This window comes from Homo sapiens, chromosome 2 (genome assembly GCF_000001405.40).
Source record: "Homo sapiens chromosome 2, GRCh38.p14 Primary Assembly".
NCBI lineage: Eukaryota > Metazoa > Chordata > Mammalia > Primates > Hominidae > Homo > Homo sapiens.
Window position 1 is genome coordinate 140,881,797 of NC_000002.12, and position 25,299 is coordinate 140,907,095.

The following is a 25,299-nucleotide window of genomic DNA, read 5'->3' on the forward strand; positions in this document are numbered from 1 at the left end:
TTCGAGGATATTTCACACTGAAATCATATTTGGTATTTTCACTTAAATAGTACTTGTAGATTGTATGTCCTTTGTGTTTTTGTTTTCTTTCTTTACTCTCAGGTTGGATATTTACAAAACTGAGATAAATAAGTTGATCCTAGCATTGTCAATACAATATCAGTGGAAAAGGAAGCATCAACTGCAAAATCTATCTTGTTTGGAGAGACCATTTTTAAACTTTCATACACCTGGTTTTTTGTTTGTTTTCTGTGTCATTTATAATTTTGGAATTATTCATGTTTTTCTTCTCATGTTGGTATACATGCTAGGACTACAATCTTTTCCAAAATATTACTTTTCTTTTATTCAGAAAGTTTCCCTTGCTGACACAACTTAGGTCTGATAGGTAAAACCCTTACATCAGTAGTTGTTGGTACTGGAGATAAGGCCCTAGCTGATAATGAGCTAGCAACTTTGTGGGAAGTGTAGGGTCAGTATCAGCAATCTACTTGTACCTCAGGAATAAAATATTGAAAAATAAAGGTAAGTCTTATTAAACATAGCAGGCTTTTTCATGATCAATTGTTATTACAGGAAGTAATGGGTGAAATAGGTAAAACGTAGACTACATAAACTAGAGAATATACTTCCAGGCTAAGAGAAACAGCTACTACTCAGCTAGTTGTTACCAAATCTCCCTATTTTACAAAAGAAGGCAGAAATCCAGGGTCTTATGTAAAATCTCTCAATATTTTAAATTTTGACAACTAATTCAAGTAAATTTAAAACACTGTGGAAAATAAAGCAAACACATAAATGAGGGTGGCCAATTTGGAATCCTTGCTCTAGATAAATGGTTTCTGCCCCTTTCATTTCTGAGTCAAAATTGAGGAAAAGAGACACAAACATACTTCCCAATCTATTGACTTCTGAGTCTTAGGCATAGACAAGAGTAAAAGTCAGAAGGTGTGGCCAGGAGGCCGACTTAGACATCGCCTGGCTTTTCTCTCTTATCTCGTTGAACTCCCTTTTGGCTCACTCCCTGCTCATTGGAGCTCCTCTCTCATTGAAGCACTCATTGGTGCTCCCTGGACTTGATATTACCTAAAGGTACAAACCTCCTAAAGAATTCCTTTCTGCTAGCCTTTAGGCTTGACAATGACCTTTGATTTACAAAACAATTACAAAGGTCAAAATCAACAGGAATAACAAAGCATTCTCACCTATCAGTTGCATATTATCTCCCATGTATATCATCTCCTTAAAAACAACTGAAGGAGGAAGATGTTATTATCCCCAATTCATAGAATAGAAACCTGAAATCTAAGGGAAAAAGATACACTTGATACACCCAGAGTATAAGTGACTGGGCAGGAACGGGAACCCATATGTTCTGGCTGGAAATCCAGTGCCTCTCTTCTGCTCCTTCACAACGGAACACAAAAGGGAAGAGGGCAGTAACCTGAGTTACTCAACATTGAACCTTGTTTTCCAGAATCATATGCTTTGTCTTTCAAACCTCCTAACAGTCAATATCTCACCACTGGACTCCTTCAAGCTTATTTAAATTTTCTTTTAAACTGACTCCAAGAACATAAAAAATAAATAAAGGGTGAAGTGGCTAACATCTGTGACTATTTAGAACAAAGACTGGCCCTGTAGTTTCCAACCATTAGAAACAATTACAACATCTCTTTGGCAGGGCAAAGAGAAATTCATTAAATTACTGTTTTGAAAAAGAGTTGCAATAGCTTCCAATAGGGCCTAATGCCCACATTTAGAAAAAAAAAAAAAGACATTTTGAGCCTCTAAAAGTACCTATGTAAGCAATCCTATCACCAAACTTGTGGTAATAAACTAGTTGCTGTATGTACAACTCACATACCTACCCCCACCTCCCCGCCCCCGCCACACACACACATACATGGGCACAAAATAACCACTTTGACTCATAATTGATGAGATAATTAAATTCAATGTTAAATTGAAAGACTATTTTTTATGCCAAAATCAATCTATAAAAGGCAAACTTCTTTACCCATATCTTGGGTCCAAAGCAATGGCCCTGGGGTGTTCCATGGCTCCTGCTATTAGTGTAGTTCTTAGGGAGCCATCTAGTTTGGCCACTTCGATTTGGTCCAGATTGCTGTCTATCCAGTATATGTTTCCTGCTATCCAGTCGACTGTCAGGCCTTCTGGAGTAGCCAGGCCATGCTCCACAACCACTTCAATGGCACTGACACCTACAAAAGAAGGAAAACCAACATGTGCACCCATTCAAGGATTGTGTTAAGCACAAAGGAAAAGGCCTTTGTGCCTGTGATCAGCAGTACAAATTATTTCAATGTGATTTCAACTTTGAGAGATTGCAAAAGTGCTACCTAGCACAGGTAAAACCAAGTAGACTCAAATTTAGCATTACCGATCTTCCTTGCCAGAAATCTTTAATCTAGTAAATCCTTTTGGTATCAGTGGAATAAAGTTTTTAAGCAGCTCTGAGGCTAATAACAACGTTGAGGTTGCAAAAAAAAAGTTATTTCTTGTTCCTGACTTTTTTATACAGAGCAAAGGATTTTGGAAACAATAATGATATTCTGGTTAAAATCAGTGCAACTTAACTCAAATGTTGATCTTCAAGAGTAGAATAAAATCAAAAGAAAAAGCCCACCAGAGCTAAGATGCATTCTGGCTAATCAGCACTCACTCTTTTTCTCTTTTTAGAAGGATAACAGATAATAGCTACTACTATATTTAACCTTAACAAAGATCAACCCCAGATGACCCTCTTCCCCACCTGGGACCCTAAGACTTGCAAGATGTAACAAAAATGTAAATAAGAGAAAAAGGTCTGAATAAAAATAAGCATTTCAGTGATGCCTACCAATATTCTTATTTATCCACTATTGAATTTCTTTCACAATTTAAAAAAAAATCTTTTTTTCTACTTTTTGAGACAGGGTCTCACTTTGGTTTGCCCAGGCTGGAATGCAATGGTGTGATCACGGCTCATTGCAGCCTCAACTTCCAGGGCTCAGATGATTCTCCTACTTCAGCCTCCTGAGTAGCAAGGACTACAGGTGCACACAACCACACCCAGCTAATTCTTTGTATTTTTGGTAGAGATGGGGTTTTGCCATGTTGTCCAGGCTGGTCTCAAACTCATGGGCTTAAACATCTGTCTGTCTCAGCCTCCCAAAGTGCTGGGGTTACAAGCATGAGCCACTGTGCTGGCCAGCCAAAACTTTCATTTTTAAATACCTTTTCTGATATGATAAATCCTTGTAGTTTGTAACATTGCTACCACAGCAGTGCTTTTTGTTAGACATATTAACAATGTGTTTTATGAAGTAGCTAACCAATTAATCCTATGAATCTAAATCCATCATTTTAAATCAGTATATGACATAGGATATAAGTTTACATATCATAATTATATTATGTGCTTAAATATGACCATTTTTCAAAATTGCAAAGGTGATTTACAATGGAATTAACAATTTGACAGAGATACCTTGTCCTTGGAATGGTACATGGGTGCAACATTTCAAAAGAAATATATATTTATGTCAACGGCTTCCTTTTTTTTTTTTTTTGAGATAAAGTATTCTGTTGCCCAGGCTGGAGTACAATGAAATGATCTAGGCTCACTGCAACCTCCGCCTCCCAGGTTCACGCAATTCTCCTACCTCAGCCTCCCGAGCAGCTGGGAATACAGGCATGCACCACCACGTCCAGCTATTTTTTGTATTTATAGTAGAGATGGGGTTTCATCATATGGGCCAGGCTGGTCTGGATCTCCTGACCTCACGTGATCTGCCTGCCTCGGCCTCCCAATGTGCTGGGATTATAGGTGTGAGCCACCACACCCGGCTATTTATATCAAAGACTTTCTACTTAAGAAAGGGTTAGCTTAGCCAAAAGAGATAAGTCAAATTATGGCAAAAATATTTAGCTCATATTAGTCATCTTTGTAATACTTTCTTCATTTTTTTGAATTATGTTGAAAGATGGTAGCAAAATTAAAAAAAAAAAAAAAACAAGTTATTGTAACTCCTAAAAATGTGACTAATGGTATGTAACAACCAGTCTTTTTTTTTTTCTTGTAAATGCATTTCTTTGCCATCAGTCCATGGAAAAGTCCACAGTGGCAAATGGTGTGAACAGCACGAGCGTCACCACTTCCTGCCCCCAACAGGTGCTCACACAGATGCTCAATATCCCTGATTTTACATATATGAGGGAGGGGATAAAGGACCAAAGGTCAAAGAATAATCAAAATTTCTTCTAGTTATAACGTGTTCTTTGAATTTTCACTTAAAAAAGTAATCTAAACATTAAGAAAAATTATAATATATGTACCTCCACTTTCAGAAAGCTTTCCCCGGTATATTCTGTCTTCTACAACATCTGTCCAATAAAGTAAACTTTGATTGAAGTGAAAATCAAGTGCTATTGTGTTTCTCAATCCAGGAACAAGTAGACTATAGTCTCTTTTGTGAAGATCAATCCTTCTGATCTCATGACGAATAGAAAAGATGATGAATGCTTCAAAAGGATCTGAAATTAAATTTATTTTTAATAGGCTTATGAAAATGTAAACTCTGGTAATGAAATGCTTGGGATCAAAATATATTATTTAAAAGTATAATTTATTACATAATTCTCTGTCTTAAAACAGCAATTTCTTTTAATCCAAAATTTAACAGAAACTTGCAAAACTTAGGTTTATGTGTATTCACTAGAATAGGTATTAGGGAGTTTTTATTCCTTGGATTTACATATACCTGATACTGATTAAAGAATAGAAGAATTATTGCCACGCAAAGACAAAATGGAGGATTTTCTGTTTTTTTTTTTAGAATTTCAGCTGACAACTTAATGCTCAGAAAAGTCACCATAGAAATTGCTAAGATTTGGCTAAAACTAACTTTGCTACACTCTTAACTAACTATCCCATACTAACAGATCCATAGAGGAGAACTATCCAACAACAAAGAAAAAGAGATCTGTGAAGAAGTTGTTGGACTTATAGTTAGGGAGTGCTTCCATTAAGAGACAAGATGGCGGCTTCCTGCAGAGTCCAAAAAAATCATAACTATATCATTCCTCACTTGGTGTTTTTTAGCCTGAAACAGGCCTGGGTAGGGAGAAAGGAAAGAAGCTTTGAAAACGGATATGAGATTAAAGTTTCTTTTAGTATTATTTTTTGTGCTTAAAAGAATGTTTCAGTATCTGAAAGTTACTAAAATTATGTTATTTCAAAAATGTATCAACCCTAAACTAATTACTGTGAGACATACTGATGTATATTGTTGTGATCACTTAGATATTGCAGTTATTTATTGCACAGTATTGTTTTTGCTGTATGACATTATTGTGACAAGAGCTAACTGAAACAATATATCAAAAACAGGTACAGAATAGTTCCAAATAGCTCCCAATAAAACAAATACTCTTAAAATTTAATATCCAGGATTTAGCATTTTTAAAATAAAGAAAATGTTTGTGTTGGATGCACAGTTGTTTAAAAGAAAAATTACCTAATTTTGGATTAGCTCTTATGTTAGGTCTTTGATACAATTTGAATTAATTTTTGCATATGGTATGAGATAGGTTCAGATATCATTCAATTGCATGTGAAAATCTAGTCCTCCCAGAGCATTATTTCTTGGAAAGATGATTTTTCCTCCACTCATATTCAAACTTATTTCATACCATAGACAAAAACTAACTCAAACTGTATTATAGACTTAAATGTAAGAGCAGCAAAAATTCCAGTTCTAGTTGAACACCCCAGATAATTAAAAATGCATGTTCACACAAAAACTGGTGCATATTCATGGCAGCATTATTCATAATAACCAAAAATGGATATAATTCATATGCTCATCAACTGATGAATAAAAAAATGCTGTCTATCCACATGATAGATATATTATTCATCAATACAAAGAAAAGAATTACTTGTGTATGCTAAAACAAATGAAAACATTACACCAAGTGAAAGAAGCTAGTCATAAAACACATATTGCATGATTACATTTATATGAAATGTCCAGAATAGGCAAATCTTTAGTGGTAGAAAATAGATCAGTGGTTTCTAGGGCCGAGGGTAGGTATTAACAGGAAGTGATTGCAAATGGGCATGGGGTTTGTTTTGGGGTGATTAAAGTGCTCAAAATTAAATAGTTGTAATAGTTAAACTGAATTGTGCACTTTAAAAGAGTGAATCTTATGGTATGTAAATTATATCTCAATACATCTGTTATTTAAAAAATGTGGTAATGACTGTAAGAACTTGTAAAGGGCATAAAACTGTACAAATACTACCTTTAGCTCACTGTTAACAGTCCAGGTTCCATATATCATTAATTTTTTACTCATTTAGAGTCATTCCTATAACCCTCCTCAGATCTGAAAAATTTTCTATCTACATAAAGAAAACAAAGAATGCCAACAATTTAGTTCTGTTTCTTTTCTGTGCATTTGAGTTAGTTGAATAGAGAAACTATTATTAGAAAAATTAATGGAATAATATTTCAACTCAAAGAATTCAGAAAATAAAAATGAATTAACTCAAATTTGAAAATAATAACAAATATAACTACAGAAATTGATAAAATACAACAAAAGATATTACTAGCAAACCCAAAGCCATTTGTTTAAAAGAATAACAAAATATAGATAGATGACCTATGGCAGACTTGATTTTATATATATATACTTATACATATAAATATACATACATATATAAATTAACAACAGGAAGAGTAAAAATAGAAAATATAGAAAATAAAAAACAGATGAGTAAGATATGCATTTTAATAATACACTTGAAAATATGTAAAATAAGTCAATTCTTAGAGAAATGTGTTAGCAAAATTGACTTAAAAAGAAATAGAAGGACAGGTGCGGTGGCTCGTGCCTGTAATCCCAGCACTTTGGGAAGCCAAGGCTCGTGGATCACCTGAGGTCAGGAGTTTGAGACCAGCCTGGCCAACATGGTGAAACCCCGTCTCTACTAAAAATACAAAATTATCCAGACATGGTGGCATGTGCCTGTAATCCCAGCTACTCAGGAGGCTGAGGCAGGAGAATCACTTGAACCTGGGAGGCAGAGGTTGCAGTGAGCCTAGATCATGCCACTGCACTCCAGCCTGCGCAATAAAGTGAGTCTGTCTCAAAAAAAAAAAAAAAAAAAACTTGAAATGATATATAAGCATTACAAACATTGATTTAATAGTAAAATTATACCTTCCGATCTAATGTGAAAAAAAGTAAAACCTACAAGACTAAAAGTAATTTAACAAAGTGGTACTCAAGTTATCTACATAGACTGCTGCCAGTCCACAGACTTTGTTACTAGTCCATAGTGAAGTCACATAGTAATTGAGAATATTAAGAAAAGTTTACACCAATTAAAACAGCAAGACCACACCCATTTTATGGGGCATAATTGGAAGTCCAAGAATTATCAAAACATCACACATGGAGTGCTTCCTATATACTGTAATTATTCTTAAACTTTTCTTTTTGAGACAGAGTCTCACTCTGTTGCCCAGGCTGGAGTACAGTGGCATGATCTTGACTCATTGAAACCTCTGCCTCCCAGCCTTAAGAAATTCTCATGCCTCAGCCACCTGAATAGCTGTGATTACAGGCATGTGCTACCATACCCAGTTAATTTTTGTATTTTTAGTAGAGACAGGGTTTCTCCATGTTGGCCAGGATGGTCTTGAACTCCTGCCCCTCAAGTGATTCACCTGCCTTGGCCTCCTAAAGTGCTGGGATTACAGACGTAAGCCACCTGGCCCAGCCATTCTTAAACATTTATAAATCCCAATTTACACAGTCCTCACAAAGCCTTATGAGGTGGGTGATGTTGTTACCCCCATTTTACACAGGAAGAAACAGAGGTACAGAGAAATTATATAACCACCATGCCAAAGTCACACAGCTCGTAAGTGGAGGAGAAGCAATTTGACCCATGATGGTAGCTAGTGTTAGCAATGATTTGGAGACTGAGGCACTTTCATAAAGTGTCAATGGTAGTTTGTATTTCTACAACTATTTTGGAGACATATTTGGCTATAATAGACTTGAACACGTGTAAATGAAGATGTGCATACACTTGAATATGTAGTTCAACTTGTGTACATTTTCATATGTAGACATCATAAGGCCATTTACTACAACATAGTTTGATATAGCAAACTCCTAGAAAGAACCTTAAAGGCCACAAACAGAGGAATGACAAACTGTAATCTTTCTATGGAGTAGAATGTTATAGAGCAGTTAAATCTCAAAATCATATTTATTAGTTAAAAAAAAAAAACCCTAGTTCCAGATGGGTACATAATGTATATAACTTGTGTATATATAAAAGCACAGTGTTAAATGTTGCTTAAAAACACAAACTGTAAGGATAGAACAGATACACCAGGCTCTCAAAAGGGGCTGTCTCTGGAGATGGAGAAATGCATACACAGAGGGCTTCAAAGTTATCTAATGTTTTATTACTTTCAGAAAATCATTTAAATTGTGAATGACTTATTCTAAATATTTAAAAATATTGGCTGTTGAATACATTATTCCCACTATTTTCAAACATGTTTGAGTTTATAAAATGAAAAGTAATTAAAAGCACATGTTTTCTTTGAACAATGACCTTTACATTGAGTATCTTATTAAAACTGCTCACAATCTTTTCATGTTCTTGTATTCTTTATAGTCATTTTATGTTGAGAAAACATTTGTTTGATAAATATTTACTGAATTATGCTTGACTGAAATAAAATAAACAAACAAAATAAACTAGTTTACCAAAGATCAAAAATCAAAGTATAAATTTTCAAATGATTTTCTATTTGAACTCTTAATCTAGATATCTCCCTCAAGTGCCTCTAAAGATCTATGTTGACTTATTAGATTATTATTTCCCCTCTGAGAAAATAAAGTTGTAATGAATAGTCCAATGTGTTATTTCATAAACCAGTGGGAAATCATGAAGATAGAATTTTAAAATCCCATCTTACAATGGTTTTTACTTTAATTAAATGAAACCTTGTAAAAAAGTATTTGGAGATAAAATAAATGAAGAATTTTCTAGTTTGTTTTAATCTTGACATAACTATATTAACATCTTTTGTGGCAACTCAATTTAGAATGAATATAAATAATATGTGAAGTAGCCATCCATTTTTACTGTTTTCTAACAATTCTTCCAGTATACTAGCTTCTATCTCATAAACGACTGAATTTAACAGCTCAAATCAGCATACTATCCTCTTAATAGAGAAGTGGCCTGAAATCTTTCTCCTTTAGCATATTATAAGAGATGAGATATGTACAAAATAAAGGAGGTCACAATTTATACTTTTTGTAAGTGACAAATTTCATTTTTATAAATCTAGTGCTTTACAAGAAGCTTTTAGAAAACACTCAGAAGACTGTTATCTCCTATGTACAATTATCTTCTTTGTTTTTCTTTTAGTCCCACTACAGATTTGCAGAATGATTTTTATCAGACAGACTATGAAAGCAGCAGATGAGTTGCCTAGGAAAAAGAGTCCTTCTTCAGATCCTTTCAGGGTAAACTGCTATTACAACCATACAACTAGCAATTCTATGTGAAATCCCCTGATTCTTTACCATATATATGATATAATCAAACAAAAAGTGATATTACTGTTACAATGTTTTCTCTCCTGCTACTTCGGAGTTTTTACTGTATTTTATGTTCTTACATTTAGGAATTTATTTGAACTTTTCTGTCCCATCATCAGATACATTTATTTTACACAGTAGCAACTTATGAAGTGGTAAATGGTATATTATTTATCTGGCCCAATATATATCATGACTTGCTTCCCTCCATTTCTCCAGCTATAGGCATATTGGGAATGAATGATGGTTAAATATTTCTGAAGTATAATATACAGGTAGGCAGAGGGAATAGAATCAATAGAATGAAGGCCAGGGTGAACTTTCAAGTATTGTTCAAACTTGTACATATACATGATGATGTCATCAGCTGTCTCTTGACATTTTTTTAAGAACCAATTTTTTGTTTCTCTCTTAGTAATCACTTTCCCAAGTATTTCTGGATTTTTAAAATATATCTGCTTTGTATGTCAAGTTCGTGATTTGCTTAACTCACCAATTCTTTTCATTAACAAGTTGTAAGAATCCTCCTTTGGGGTGTGTGTGTGTGAGAGGCAGAGTGAGAGAGAAGAGCACTCACTCAGGTGAGAGGTGGAACAACAACAAAACCTGCATTTCTAGGATACAGTCCAGTGTCTTTTACTAGATTGTATTTAAGAAATATTTTTGATTGCATAAATGAATAAATAATTATAAAAATCAATGAATGAATAACAAGCCTAGAAGACCCTAAATATGATGAAAATGATTATGGGAGGAAGAAGAAATATGCAAAGAAATGAATCAAACAAAGGAGTAAGTGACAGAAGCAGACAAACAGGACTTGTTCAACAGAGGTCACCGTGGATGAAGTTCATAGATGGGTGACTGAACGGAGGCAGTATCGGAAATGTCTAAAGTTTAGAACATAGTGTTGATTTCTACAAATTAATAAGAAAAGGCAGTAATCTTAATAGGAGAATGACCAAAGGAAATTAAGGCTAGTGAGTATATGGAGAGGTGCTCAAACTCATGAGAAATAAAACAAACGCAAACAAAAGCAATGATATATCATGTTACTCCTACATATTAGGGAGAAAATGACAGAGTGGATAATTTTGAGAGCTGCGAAGGATGCGGGAACTTAGTGAACTGTTGGTATAGATGTAGACAGTGCAACCACTCTGAAGAGGAACTGGTTCTACTTAGTCATTGTAAGTAGAAGTACATTCCATGATTGTTACTGGTCCTAAAGGAATTTTTATCCACATCTATAAGAATGCCGGTAAATGTATGTCTATGGAATTATCATTTGTACAGAAAGTTAGGGGCAACTTGAGTGTATTGATATGGTAGAATGGAAAAGCATAAAAGATGTGTGCATGCTCTACGACACTATCTAGTGATTAGAAGTAACAGAGTAGGTGCACAGTTCATAAAGACAGTGCTGACTAAAAAAGGTAAATGACAGACTGTAATATGTATAATACCAATTACATAATTAAAAATGTATGCAAAGAAACATAGATTTTTATAAGAGAATATATGAACTACATTGAAATGACTTCCTCTAGAGACAGAGGAAAGGAAGAGGGGTAGGCTTTCGAAATAAAAGTAAAGAAAGAAAGAGAGACCCAAGGGAGGGCATGAGGAAAATAAAAAGCCTTACCTAGATCCAATTATAATGCTGTGCCAGGAAGTGAGGAGTGTAATCAACTCAACACTTCCTGCCTGACCTTCAAAAGATAAAGAGAGGAAGAGAGATCATAAATATGAGAGTAATTGAAGAAAAGAGAAAGGGTCCAACTACTTAAAACAGAGAAAGCTCTTACATTCAATAATCATTTGCTGCAAAATGTTCATATGTTTCATAAGGGATATAAAATATTTTGATTCAATCTCAACTTTTATGAAAGTGGATGCAAGTAACAAAAGTAAGGTCATGAAAATGTTGACTATTCAAAGGCATCATAGGAATGTGTGGGCTCACAGCACAGATAAACTGCCTGGGTCTTTGCAGTATTATGTAAATGCTCCTGCTTTGAGGTCAGGAAGAATAAAGTTCAAAACCTTTGCCCTAACATCTCTTAGCCACAACCTCTCACCCTGAGCAAATCAAGTAACCTTTCTGGGTCTTCATTTCCGTAGGTATAAAATCAGAGTTTTAAGACTATTTATCTGGTTTCTTGGGAGTAATAAATACATGATCGTATTTTAGGTGTTGGGTAAATGGTAGCTATTAATAACATTATAATAATTAACTTGAAGAAATTCCTTGTAGATAAGGGAGTTTTGAAGAGTGTAAAGGATTCAAATTTCCAGGGAGAATGTGAAAGATATTGTTATTAAGTCATAGATGATAGTGAACGGAATATGTGAAGAAGATGACTAAATGAAGCGACATATGTGAAAGTGCTTTACACATTCTTAGTCATGCATATACTATCATTACTCATGATGAAAATAGCAATAATGTGCCTAAAGTCGAAACCCACAGTGGATGATGATGAAACATCAGGGTGGAGAGGGAAAATGAGCAAAAATGAAGAAGGCTCTGAATAGCAGACAGAAAGGTTTGAGGTTAATTTCACAGAAAATAGAGAGATACTATTAAAATCCGGATGGAAACTGATATGTAAATGTGTCATTTTTTAAAGAGAAATAAAAGAATGGATGACTGGATTTTAAGTCCCCCATAGCTTCATTCCCCTGGTGGCTTCACCTTTATCACTCACTACTCCCCAAGGCAGCAAATCTGCTTATCACTTTATTTTTTATCTTGACCCCTTTCTATTAATTTTCATCTTCCTGGATCTGGATTTTCCTCCCTCTGTCAGTAAAAATACTATGTTTTTTTCCAGTTTCAGTATCCTCCTCCTCAAAAACTGGAGAAACAAGAAGATAAAAACAAATTTGCTGGAGAGAAGATTGCCATTATCATTAGAACATATGTATCTCTTGGCCTGTGCTGTGGTGCAGATGCTGCTTAATTGTAGAAAGAGATCTGAATCCAAGAAACACTGTGAAGAAAAAAAATTAAGACATGGAGAGAGAAGGCAGCAAGGAACTGAAAAAATCAAAGATAAGTTGAGGTTGTGAGCCCTGAAGACCAAAAAAAAAATACTGCAGCTATTGACAGAATTACAGATAATTGAGGGAGAAGAGAAAGGGTACATTTAGCCAACTAATCTTGAGGTGACCTGATGATATCCGGGGAAGTAGAATTAGATAGTAAGAAAAATGATAGGCCGGGCACGGACGCTTACACCTGTAATCCCAGCACTTTGGGAAGCCGAGACAGGAGGATCACCTGAGATCAGGAGTTTGAGAACAGCCTGGCCAACATGGTGAAACCCCGTCTCTACAAAAATACAAAAATTAGCTGGGCATGGTGGCGCCTGCCTGTAAGCTACTCAGGAGGCTGAAGGACGAGAATCACTTGAACCTGGGAGGCAGAGGTTGTAGTGAGACAAAATCGTGCCACTGCACTCCAGCCTGGGTGCCAGAATGAGACTCTGCCTCAAAAAAAAAAAAAAAATTGATACAGTTGGAGATGTAAATGCCACAGTAATCAGATCTGGGGTGAAAAGGGAAGGTTCAGAGTGGAAAGGAGTTGTCCAAGGAAATACACATAGAGGAATGTGAAAATTAAACTTTGGGTAGTGGACACAGTATACCAAAACACAGCCATTATATTTATGCATTTTTGTGCTTATATTCACAATCTCTTTCCTAGAAATGATTTTAATTAAAAAATAATTTCAAAGGCCTAATAATGAAAAAAATAGAGAATAAGAACAAAAAAATGTGAAAATACAATCTGATTCAGGCTGAGATAAAAAAATTATATAATGTTATTTGCAATGTTACTATAAATATGCTGCAAATTTGCCAGTGGGCTGCCGAACAAACAGCAATGGAGCCAGAAGAAAATGCAATTGAAACAGGAAATTTTCCCTGACCCCTTCACAGGACTTGGGAAGGGGGTGGCTCGTTTACTCAGCCTGCGGCTCTCAACCCCTCGTGGGAAGGGGAGAAGGCAGGTGAGTGCTCGCAGGGGCCAGAAGGAATGCTTCAGGTCACCTCACCGGCAGGAGCAGAACTCCGTGTGGCCCCTAGAGCCTCAGAAGGCATGTTACCGTGCGCTCTTTTACTTTGCTGTCCCTGGGTGGCTTAAGTGTTTAACAGCTCAGTGTGACAACCCCCTGTAACCTGAGCTCTTACTGGGTGTCAGGAAGAATCAGGTCACACAACGAACTGAAGATGGTAAATGCAGGGGATTTTATTGCTGATGAAAATGGCTCTCAGTGGGATGGAGAGCTGAAAAGGGGATGGAGCAGGAAGGTGGTCTTCCCCTGGAGTTCTGCTGTCCCAGGCCAAACTCTTCTCCAAGGTCCCACCGTCAAGCCATCCCTCTGAAGTCAAGCTGCTTCTCAACAACGCCAAGCTGTTTTTTTCTCTTCTTCTCTGCTGCTCTGCTGCCCGTGGAGCCTGGGGTTTTCATGAGTACAGGATGGAGGTGGGGGGCAGGGTGGGCCAAGGTGGTTTTGGAAAAGGCAACATTTGAGCAAGAAAACAGGGATGTAAAGTTCTCACTTTGGGCCACGGGTCCAAGCTTGAGGGTGGGGACCTCACGGGGAACCTATCTGTTCTACCCAGTATTTCCCTGCCTCCTGTCCATATCACAATCAGTATCATATTTTAGGTGGTCCTAAAAGAAATCAATACTTCAGAGAAGGGTGATTAATAATTGAATTATAATTATTAATAAATGAATTAATAAATGAATTAAAGAGGGAAAATGTAACTGAATATTGAGATATGAGAAAACTGAGATTTGAGATATATTAAATAGAAAATAAAAATTATAAAAGTAGCATTTATGAAATATCATTTTATATAATAAGATATTAGGAGTGAACTTAGAGAAAACAGAATCAGTTCTGCAATTCAGCAAAAGCCAGATTGTAAAGAATCAGAGAAGGGAAGAGTGTAGAGAAATAAAAAAAAGATGAGAGAACTACGGAGGAAAACTCAAGAGAAAAAAGGAATGGAACAATCATGGCTATAATTTGAAAAAACAAAAATAGTTTTTCAAATGCTCAGGCTGAAGTGCAGTGGCATAGTCATGGCTCACTGCAGTCTCAATCTCCTGGGCTCAGCCAATGCTCCTGCCTCAGTCACCTGAGTAGCTGGGACCACAGACATGCACCACCATGACTGGCTAATTTTTAAATTATTTGTAGGTAGGGGGTATCCTTATGTTGACCAGGCTGTCTTGAATGCCTGGGCTCAATAGATCCTCCTGTCTCAGCCCTCCAAAGTGTTGAGATTACAGGTGTGAGCCACCATGCCCAGCCAAAAGCCTGCTATCATCATTTTTTTTTCTTTTTAATGTCAAGAGGGATAAGGACAGGTATTGCATTCAATAGAAAGAAAACATTTTAAAAGGGAGAATCAACAGAAGATGATGGAAAACAGAAAATGAGCAAGAAAGAAGAAATTTCTATTTTTAAAGTCCAGTAGTAACTAGTCAATTCATTTTTATTGGACTGTGAATTTGCTGCTTTTCTAAAAGGGGTGAACAAAATACAGAATAAAGCCTTTTTTCTTCAGATGCACAAAGTGCACTATACATTTCAGGAAGAGATTAATTACCAGAAGATTAAATTATCCACTTAAAAATGTTTCATTGTAACTTTAAAAGATGAAATATACTTTTACTTTTCTATAAAATTATGAACAAAACCAGATGGAAAATATAGCAATCTTAACAGTGAGAAATCATATGGTACTGCTAGAGTTTTGTTGGGGCTCAGAAAACAGCACCACAAAGTGAAGCCCTAAGAAGCTACCTCAGAAGCAAAGTCTCTCCCTGACCCTCTCCTACCTTCCTGTTTTTCATGCCTCATTCTCTCCTTAGGCAAGCCACAGTAACCATAACCTGTCTTTCCCAGAGCGAGTCATAGACACTAGCAGCCCCTTTCCCCAAAGCCAGCCATAAAGCCTAAAAATATTATTCTAACCTTCCCAGACTGTAATAGTTAATATTGAGGATCAACTTAATTGGACTGAAGGATGCAAAGTATTGTTCCGGGGTGTGTCTGTGAGGCTGTTGCCAAAGGAGATTAACATTTGAGTCAGTGGACTGGGAGAGGCAGACCAACCTTTAATCTGGATGGGTACCATCTAATCAGTTGCCAGCACAGCTAGGATAAAAGCAGGCAGAGGAATGTGGAAAGACTAGATTTGCTAAGTCTTCTGGCCTCTATCTTTCTCTCATGCTGGATGCTTCCTGCCCTCAAACATCAGACTTCTAGTTCTTCAGCTTTTGAACTCTTGTACCTACACCAGTGATTTGCCAGGGGCTCTCGCACCTTCAGTCACAGACTGAAGGCTGCGCTATCGGCTTCCCTACTTTTGAGGTTTTGGGACTCAGACTGGTTTCCGGGCTCCTCAGCTTGCAGACAGCCTATTGTGGGACTTCACCCTATGATTGTGTGAGTCTGTTCTCCTAATAAACCCCACTTCATGTATTCATCTATCCTATTAGTTCTGTCCTTTTAGAGAACCCTGATGAAGACACCAACTTTTCGGTTTAGGAGCTGGCCATAAAGAAATTGAAGATGCTCATTCCAGAAAGGGTCTGCCCCATAACCTGGGGGAAGCAATGCTGCCCAGAGAAGTTCAGAAGAATCAGAGCAGACAGGCTGTGCTGGTTCCCCACAACCATCTATAAGCATTAGATCATACACTTTTTGTCCAATCATATTTCTACATGTCTGTCCATACTTCATTGAGCCTAAGTATTAAAAATGGACAGCTTTTCCTGGGTCTTTGGGTCTTCATTCTGAAGGTTTCTGTGTCACATAAAACTATCACCAGGTTCCTATCCAGGACTAAGTCTGGGGAACACAACCTAGTTAGTGTGGGTCCTGGGGCTTCCCCTGCTGAACCATCTGGCAGCTGAGCCATAGCAGGGATGTAGACTGAAGCACTAAAATAGGAAATGGTGCCCTCGGTACTCAAGTGGAATGGGCACACTAAACTGGTGTCTCCCAGTTTAAGGACCGTGGGCTGACCAAGTTCTCCTTAGAATTGTAGACACTAATGAGCAATCCCAGGACCATCGATTTGTCCAACAACAAGATGGACAACCTACCACTTTTGCTGATACAAAAGTTCACTCTGTTGAAGAACCTCCCCCTGAACAACATAAACTGGTCTGCCTAATGAGATTATGCAATCCTAAAAAAATTCTAGAGATGCTACGCCTAAATGGCAGTCACCTGAGAGAGCTGCCATCTACCTTTGGGCAACTCTCTACCCTCAAGACCCTGAGCCTCTCTGGGAACCAACTGGGAGCGCTATCACCCAACTTTGTAGCCTAGGCCACCGGATGTGGTGGATCTTTCCAAGAACCAGATCTGAAGTATACCTGACATAGTAGGAGAGCTGCAGGTCATCAAACTCATCCTCAACTGGAAGAAGATATCTCAGGTCTCAATAAAGATATCTGGCTGTCCTTGCCTTAAAATTCTTCACCTGGAAGAGAACTGTCTTGAGCTCAGCATGCTTTCACAGAGCATCTGCAGTGATTGCCAGATCTGTCCACTTGATATGGAAGGTAATCTTTTTAAAATAAACTTCAATAAGTACATGGAGAGGTTCATGGCCACCAAGAAGTTGCATGAAGTTCTCCAGGTCTATGGGAACCTTGCAGCATACTGACTTGGGACCTGTTGGAGTGCTGCTGATTCAAAGGCTCCTGTTGTTGTCAAGGGTATCTGCAATGAGAAGATGATACTCCAGGACATTATGTTTTACTCAATGATCCTTTTTCTTTTCCTTTTCAGGGCTCTTCTCAACTAAGCTAAAAGAAAGGAAACCAGGAGACAGGAAAAGTTCTCCATTTGAGTCATGGGTATGACAATGAGCAAGGTTGGTCTTCAAAATCATCATTAGTTTGGCATTAAGAAACCAGTAGCTAGCTGCTATTTTTATGGTGAGGGAGTGCTGCCTGGTAACAGAATAACTCCATACCACAGCTTGAGATTTCATTCAGTTTCAATGTGTGAGCTTTCAAAAAGTCAGTTGCCATTTCATTTCTATGTTAACACTTCATATTTGTATGAAATTCAAGTAATTTGTGAGAGGCTGGTATGGTTAATCTAAGGATTTATTATTTTGTTCCAGTCCGTCAGTTCAATTGCAGTGTTTATACTTGGAATTTAGGACTTACATAAATATGGGACTGTTTGTCTTGAATAAAAGTATGCTTTGTCAGAGAAGCACCAATACAACACTAAAAAATGTTCCCCAAGGCTGCAGTAGCAAATTCTTTACTATTTCAGGCAACTTATCGATAGAGGGCTCTGAAGAGCTAAAACTGTGTATGCAACACTTATAAGATAAAAGTCATTTTAATAATCAATATTTTCTTGAAGATTTGTTAGAAATAATGTCTTCTTTCTGGTAATCTTTCCTCCTTTTTGTATTTATAACTCTACTAATCAAATTACCTATCAATAAACTATTGCTATAATATTTTAAAACAAGAAAAAAAAACAAAAAACTATGATCAAATAAATTTGCTATGATTTTCTCTTGTTAACTGGTCTTTGTTATAGGACAGTCATCTATGACCCTTATTATGGGGAGGAAAGGGAACACCTCCTTTCTGCCCCTACAGTTCCATTCTGAGCTGAGAGCAGAGGAGTCAATTCCATTAGGAGAGTTATCTCTGTCCCTGGTCACCTGTATTTAAATGTTGAATTATTCTAACATTAAACATAAGTTGTTATTTATTTCATATGGTATATAACCACTCTAAGACACTGAATCATTTTGTTATCTGTATCCAAAACAAACATCTGGAGCCAATTCTCATGTGAAATATGATCACAAATGTGTCTGAGGTCAATATTTGATCTATTGCTTTTTCATTCAAAACACATAGGTGAATGAAATGACTATTACCATTACAACAAATTGCTGTTTTTCAGCCTCTCAAGCCAATTACTTTGTGTGAGAATATTGAAGAAGAAATATAGAATAAATGTCTGCTAAACTTATGCTCTGGGACTCAAATTTTAATGGTCAGAAGAAAACTACTACAAAAATAATCACAAAACAAAAGAAAATTTAAAGTAAAAGATTAAAATAATACAATAATATCTGAAAGAATATAGTATCTATTAACTGCATATTATTTTCCCAGAAGTGGGCTGGATATTATGTAAAACACAAGAGAAAAGTCTGTAACCTGAATTCTAACTTCAAAGTTTGTATTATTTTATTGTAAAGAAATAAGAAGATATCTAAGAATATAAAACAGCCATTTAAAAATGTGATCACATATATTCAAGAACAATATGTCCTAGACATAAAAAGAAAAAATAAATGGAAAGCAAGGATATTTGGAAGAAGATTTAATTGATGAAAAAAGACTTGAGCCAGCACGTCTCAAAGAATATCCAGGATTTCTGGAGATGAAGTGAGGAAAGTATAGTCTAAGTGAAAGAAACAAAATGAATAGAGGTTCATAATATATGGGTTCTTATCAGTCTGATGAAGCATGTGGACTCCTCAGAAAGTCGTGCTTTTTTTAAAATAATTTTTAATTTTTATTTTTGTGAGTACATAGTAGGGGTTATAGTAGTAGTATATTTATAGGTTATGTGGAGGCCTGATAGATAAGTAAGCAACAATGTGGAAGGGGCTCCAGGTGGGGGAGGGCTCCAAGTGGGGAAGAACAATGAACAATCGATTGGACAGGTGGCTAATCTCATCATAAACAACGACCTCCTTGTCCTGTGGACACAATGACCTCAATCTGCAAGTAGCTCCCTCCAGCACCACCATATAAACTGTCCTTCCAGCCCCTGCCTCTTTGCAGACAGCCCTGTCTCTGCTGTGCTGCCTGTTGCAACCTTGCAATGTATTTTCATACTTCCTCTAACAAATCTGCCTTTCATTACCTACAACTGTCTTGGTAAATTCTTTTACCCCCTGTGCCAATGGCCCCAGTTAGTTGCTACCTATGACAGGTTACATGAAATATTTTGATACAGGCATGTGATGCAGAATAATCACATCAGGGTAAATGGGATATCCATCACCTCAAGCATTTATCCTTGTGTTACAAACAATCCAATTATACTCTTAGTTATTTTAAAATGTACAATTACATTATTTTTGACTACAGTCACCCTGTTGTGCTAGATTAGAAAATTTTTTTAAAGTGCAAAAACAATAAGAATAAAGTGTTTCAAAAAGTATAGATGAGAAAACATATTGAAGTGCACTTATTGAAATTAAATAATTTTTGAATATGATCATAAATGTATTTATTATATATTTATTTTGATGTCATGAAATTCAAACTTTATTTGATAGCATATTTTAATTCCTATTCTAATTCCTTTTTGTCTTGGAAAAAGTTGAAGAGATATTCCCCCACAGAGAGGATTTTATTAGTGTATTCAATAATAAGATCCAGCAGTGGGTCTAATGGATCCCATTATTGAATTAGTAGCGGGTTTCCAAGCCTGAACATGTGATATTTTGAGATATGTGCGGCAACTATAATGTGATATGAATATATCTATTACTTCTATCAGCAAATTCATAGTTGCTGCTAATGACTTTGGTGGTCTGTGCCATACATTCACAATGGAAAGATATGCTAACTTTCAGTTAGAAGTTAAAATAATGCTATAATATTTTCCCAAACAAAGTTCCTGAATCTCTTCAATTCTATCCATAGACTTCTAAGTTTCCTGTGGACTCAGACTAAGAATCTAGAAAAGTGGATGGGAAGCGATACTTCTTTAAACACCCAATGGATGTGCGGCACAGTAACAAGTCTTTCACGCTACTCTTACAACATGCTATAAGCAAGAAATGGTTAAAATGGGCAACATTACTTGAAAAATGAGAAAACTGAAGCTCCACAGTGTTATGTAACCTGCCTAGGGTCACATAAAGAATGAATGTAAGTTACACAATTAGAGTTGAAATATCATAATCTAAAGCCCTTGTTTGCCTTTCCCACTGTGAAAAACCACCTAGAGAATCCGCAGAATGTTTTAGATAAGTGGTTAGAAGATGAACACAGCCAGAGCAAGAAATTGTTTTCAAGAGCATTAGAAATAACAATTGGGAATGTGGGGCAGGACCCCCTAAAAAAGCATACACAGAGAAACAAAGCAACTGCTTTTGCCTATGCAAAAACGAGCCCATCCGGGATATGATAATAAAATCAATGTTTCGGGAAAAAGAATAATCTGATGGTAACAATTCAATGGATAGCAAAAGTAAGGATTATTATATTTTCTCTCTAGAAATTTTATAGTAGGTCTAAAATAACACATTATAGTTAAATGCTTTATCTAAAATGAGTTGAATCCTTTCATTAATTTTCTGAAGCAGTTTTGGGATTTGTTTCTTTCAAGATCTATTCTTAAATATAGCAACACACACAAAATAGTTACTTACCAACACTTGTACAACTTTCACCGTCTACATCCAGCTTCCAACCTTCATAACATGAGCACTTGACTGTGTGCTTGTGCTGCTCACATACTTGGCTGCACTTTAGATGATTGCTACAATAATCCACAATTTCACATGTTTTATTGTCTTTGTTGAGTTGAAGTCCTTCAGGGCAGGAACAGACAATTCCTCTTCCAGGAACAACAGAACAGTGGTTGCTACAGCCTCCATTGTTCAGCGAACACTCATCTATAAAAAGGGGGGAACAGATTATAGGTCTTATCAATTGCTTTCCTCAGTTAAATACTAATCATTGAACTCAATTCTCTAAGCCTACAATTAGCCAGGATACTACAAATGAATATAAGAAAGCCCTCTTTGGCTTATTTTTGCTTCAGGGGTTGGTATAGAAATGATGATAGGATTTAACCAAAGGTCAAATTTAATTCTATATTATAGAAATTGTAAATGGAAGATTTTCATTTCTATAAAACTTGGGAGTATAGTTTGCTTTGCCCCACAGATGTAAAGTGAGCTCAATGTTTCTATTATGACTGGAAAGATTATGCTGAGCCTTTTAGCAGTGGTGCAAAATAATTTGTAGAGGTCTTCCAAAAAAGATGTACATACCATGATGATCTTAATATTAGACATATCTTGATGTTAATAAATTAACAAGTATATCCATATACACATATGTGAATATATGTGTCTATATATCTTTTGCAACACTTGTACAGTCCATTTTGGAGTTAAAATGCAGAATGGATTACTTTATCCTTTACCAGCTGTAGGCATTTATTTTTAAGTTAGGTGAATTATACATTGTGCCTCATATATTGGTTATTATGATTCATTCAATGACGCCATGGAAACATCATAAGCAAAACACTAAAAAAAAAAAAAAAAGTTGTCCTGGTATTTTGTCTGAAATAATGAGCAATAGTATTGATTACATAGATAATCGATTACATATATAATTACATGATTACATATGATTACATATATAATGTGATTACACATATGATTACATATATAATGTGATTAGCTTGTAAAAAAGATTAGCTTTTTAAATAGCATTTAAATATACAGCTGTCCTTTAAATATATTTATTTATTATTCTACTTCATTACCAAATTGTAAGCTCCATGAGGGTACAGAAAATATCTCTTCTGTTTACCAGTGTATACCTAACATTGAGTAACAAGTTAAAAATATTTGATGAATTTTTTAAAGTAGAAAAATTGTATAAAAGCACACATTGTCCTAAAATTTACTCAGAATTGTCTACTTGAGAAAATTTCAATATGACATGCTTACAACCTTGAAGAAAATGGCAGATAATTGTCTTTGAAACCACATCATTATCTACCACTGTGTACCATTAGGTACATAGAAATAAGGCTGAAAGAAGCTTTGTCTTTCTTGGCTTTAAAAATATTTTCAAGTGGATTTCAAACCCTATTTAATTGTGTATGTTTTGAGATGTGCTAAAAAGACTATTGTCTAATAATCAGTAAATTGAAGCAATATTTATATAATGCAAATATTTCTGGTTGTCTATGAAAATGTATCCAGTATGAAAATTGGCCTGAAATGTAAGGCTTTTAAAAACATTTCTACATTTTTAAAAGCTTTATATGGGTCAACTCTTCTTCATATAATTTGTCACCATCAAAGAAGCTACAGTAATAAGAAAAGGAAAATGATTGTATGAACTGTTTTCTCTAACAATTCAATTCAAGTTTGGTATTATTTTGAAGAAAAAAAATAGATTCAGCTCTTGGTTCCTCCAAATATGTTTGTTCACCCATAATCATAAGCATCTTAAAACAGCAGTCATTTCAAAGTATTTGCCCCATTTTAGTTCAACTGACATTCTTTTTCCAGAGAATTACTGTAAAGAAATGTCATTGTGCCCAGGAGGTAAAGAAAAAAAAATTGTTACAATGCTTTTAGCTTATTTCAAGTGTCACGGTTTTCTCAGTACTGAAGTGTCTCTTTCTAATCCTATCTGTGGAATGAAGTCACAGATTTTAGGTTAAATGAAATTCACATTGAAATCTGAAATTGAATATATAATGCCAATATTTGCATGATTAGAACCTGTTGATTCTTAGCCCTAAACCTGTCATTAATCCTGCAACTTCTTTTAAAACTTTTTATTACCTGACAAAGACTCTGTCCTTGACCAAACACTAGTCAGGATCCTCTAAGTCCTCTTCTGACTAGACTTCAGCCTTGGCCAATAAAAACTGCAGACTCTCAGCACAAATGATTTCATCCTGCTGCCCTCACCTCCACCGCCCCCCTCCCCAAGCCCCTGGGCCACAAATACATACTAACAGACTTGAACAATCCCTAGCACATTGTCCAACAGCTTAAGTCTACGTCCCTTGAATGACCCCAGCTCCCACATTAAATTGTCTGCCTGAGAACGCTCATGATGATAGGCAGATAGGCCCTGAACCTCCTCTTAGAGTAGTTGCTTTAGAAAGCTTGCAATTATAAATCCTTTCTGTGCCTTTTTGAGGTGTAAATCTTCTACTACCCAGAACTACCTTCTAAGGAGCTGAGAGCGTTCTCTTTGAAGTGCAAACACCTGGGAAGGGAACTCTGCCTCTCATTCTCCCTCCCAGCCCAGTGGGGGTCTTACTCTTACTTGCTGCCACTGCCTCTTGTCACAAAGATAAGAGAAGCCTGTTTTCCCCTCCTGTTAAGCACCAGTTATCTAACCCAGGTGGCGTAATCTTGTGGAGCAGCCCCTTTAACCCCCTTAGTGCCTTTTCCTTAGCACACCCCGACCTTCAAAGTTTCCAGTTTTTAGTTTCATGAAGTTGAGCTCAGTTCACAGTGGACTATCACAAGAGTTACTAATGAGTAAAATCTTTACTTACTGTTTTACTAGTTAGCATCTGGCTTTGACATATTATTGTAACAAGGATCACTATAACTCCATTTTAGAGTAATTAAAATCTATTTTCGTTTGTTTCTTAAGTGCAAATCCGTTTCTTTTGAAATTATTTAAAAATTTCCCTAAAAAAAAATCTCTTCACTAGAATCAGTAGATTCACATTCTTGGGTTCTCCTTTTCCTTATATACATTGCTATAACCATAGAAAAGGCAATCTAATCCTTTGGCCAGTATTTGCTTTCTGTTTTCATTGTTCTAAGTCTTCATGACTTCACCTCTGAAAGAGTGCGGTGTGTAGTTCAATATGCCACAATGCTGCAATCATGACAAAATTGTCTTTTTATTTTCTCTGGTACTTCCACACCAGATTCCTCCTTATAATCTATTTCAGTCTCTATAATTTTTTGAAATGTTTGGGCAAAGCTCTTTAAGTAATGACCATATGGCTAGATAAGAAGTGCTTTTCAATTCTGAAGTAGACAAAGAAATGAATTAAGAAGAAATTCTCTCATTACTCTTTTACTTTTCCAATTTGGGAAGTGAAGAATAGGAAAATGAGGTTGTTTTTTCTTATCATTTTCTTCATTTTTCTCAATGGGTGTACTTTCTGTCTTTTGCCTTTTATTTATTTCATTTAACTTGAAAGATGGGGAAGAGGGAGAAAAGTACTAATATTTTTCAATAACTGCAGGGCATCAGGCATTATTACCATGATTACCTGATAGATACCATTGCCTCTATTTTAATTATAAGAAAACCAAGATTTTAAGAAATTAAATCACCTAAAGACTTAATTGAAGAAAAGAATTTAAGCTTGTTGAAGTCTAGTTTTTCCATAATTACATTCTTTAAGAGTATTAATAATTTCTTTTAGAATTGTATTTACAACCTTCATGAGCAAACCTCTCACCAACCTACTCCACTACAAAGAATAAGCTGGGCAAGAAAGAAATGAATACAGAAGAATGAAGTTTATCATCTTTTATTTATAACCTTTTTGTTGCTCAACTTAAGTTCTTTTATTTGTTCTTAATTTTTTTGTGTGTAATTTTAGCCTCATCGAATGAAGACTGTTGCATTCACTGTTTCAAGGTTATTTTATAAAATCATGACTTAAAAAAAGACATTTTACCACATATGGTAAAAAAAAAAAAAACTTCCTTTTTTATATCATTCAGTATGCTATTAATGCTCATTTGAGGTCAAAATATAACTTTGGGCTTCAATGTAGTTGTCTTTCCTACTTTCAATCAGTCAGCTTCATT

General features: G+C 35.8%; 1 protein-coding gene and 1 pseudogene across 3 annotated transcripts in view, besides 3 other annotated features; one reads left to right on the forward strand and one right to left on the reverse strand.

The window, feature by feature from the left end:
• LRP1B (LDL receptor related protein 1B) overlaps positions 1-25,299 on the reverse strand; it is a 1,899,594-nt gene that overhangs the window by 650,374 nt on the left and 1,223,921 nt on the right. For all 3 annotated transcript variants that reach the window (NM_018557.3, XM_017004341.2, XM_047444771.1), the window contains exons 23-25: positions 21,124-21,369; positions 4,342-4,539; positions 2,021-2,225 (exon numbers count right to left, since the gene is read on the reverse strand). In NM_018557.3, the coding sequence (NP_061027.2) occupies positions 2,021-2,225; positions 4,342-4,539; positions 21,124-21,369 (649 nt within the window). The remainder of the gene's footprint in view (positions 1-2,020; positions 2,226-4,341; positions 4,540-21,123; positions 21,370-25,299) is intronic.
• Positions 11,332-11,884: an enhancer, noted in NCBI's record as "NANOG hESC enhancer chr2:141650697-141651249 (GRCh37/hg19 assembly coordinates)". NCBI's record gives its function as "activates a minimal SCP1, AML or CMV promoter by ChIP-STARR-seq in naive H9 embryonic stem cells {active_cell/tissue: H9 hESC(naive)}" and the evidence as "EXISTENCE:reporter gene assay evidence [ECO:0000049][PMID:30033119]".
• Positions 12,030-13,229: an enhancer, noted in NCBI's record as "P300/CBP strongly-dependent group 1 enhancer chr2:141651395-141652594 (GRCh37/hg19 assembly coordinates)". NCBI's record gives its function as "activates an origin of replication core promoter dependent on BRD2, BRD4, P300/CBP, MED14 and CDK7 cofactors, with strong dependence on P300/CBP, by STARR-seq in HCT116 cells {active_cell/tissue: HCT116}" and the evidence as "EXISTENCE:reporter gene assay evidence [ECO:0000049][PMID:35650434]".
• On the forward strand, positions 16,510-17,507 carry LRRC57P1 (LRRC57 pseudogene 1; annotated as a pseudogene).
• Positions 23,284-24,020: an enhancer, noted in NCBI's record as "OCT4-NANOG hESC enhancer chr2:141662649-141663385 (GRCh37/hg19 assembly coordinates)". NCBI's record gives its function as "activates a minimal SCP1, AML or CMV promoter by ChIP-STARR-seq in primed H9 embryonic stem cells {active_cell/tissue: H9 hESC(primed)}" and the evidence as "EXISTENCE:reporter gene assay evidence [ECO:0000049][PMID:30033119]".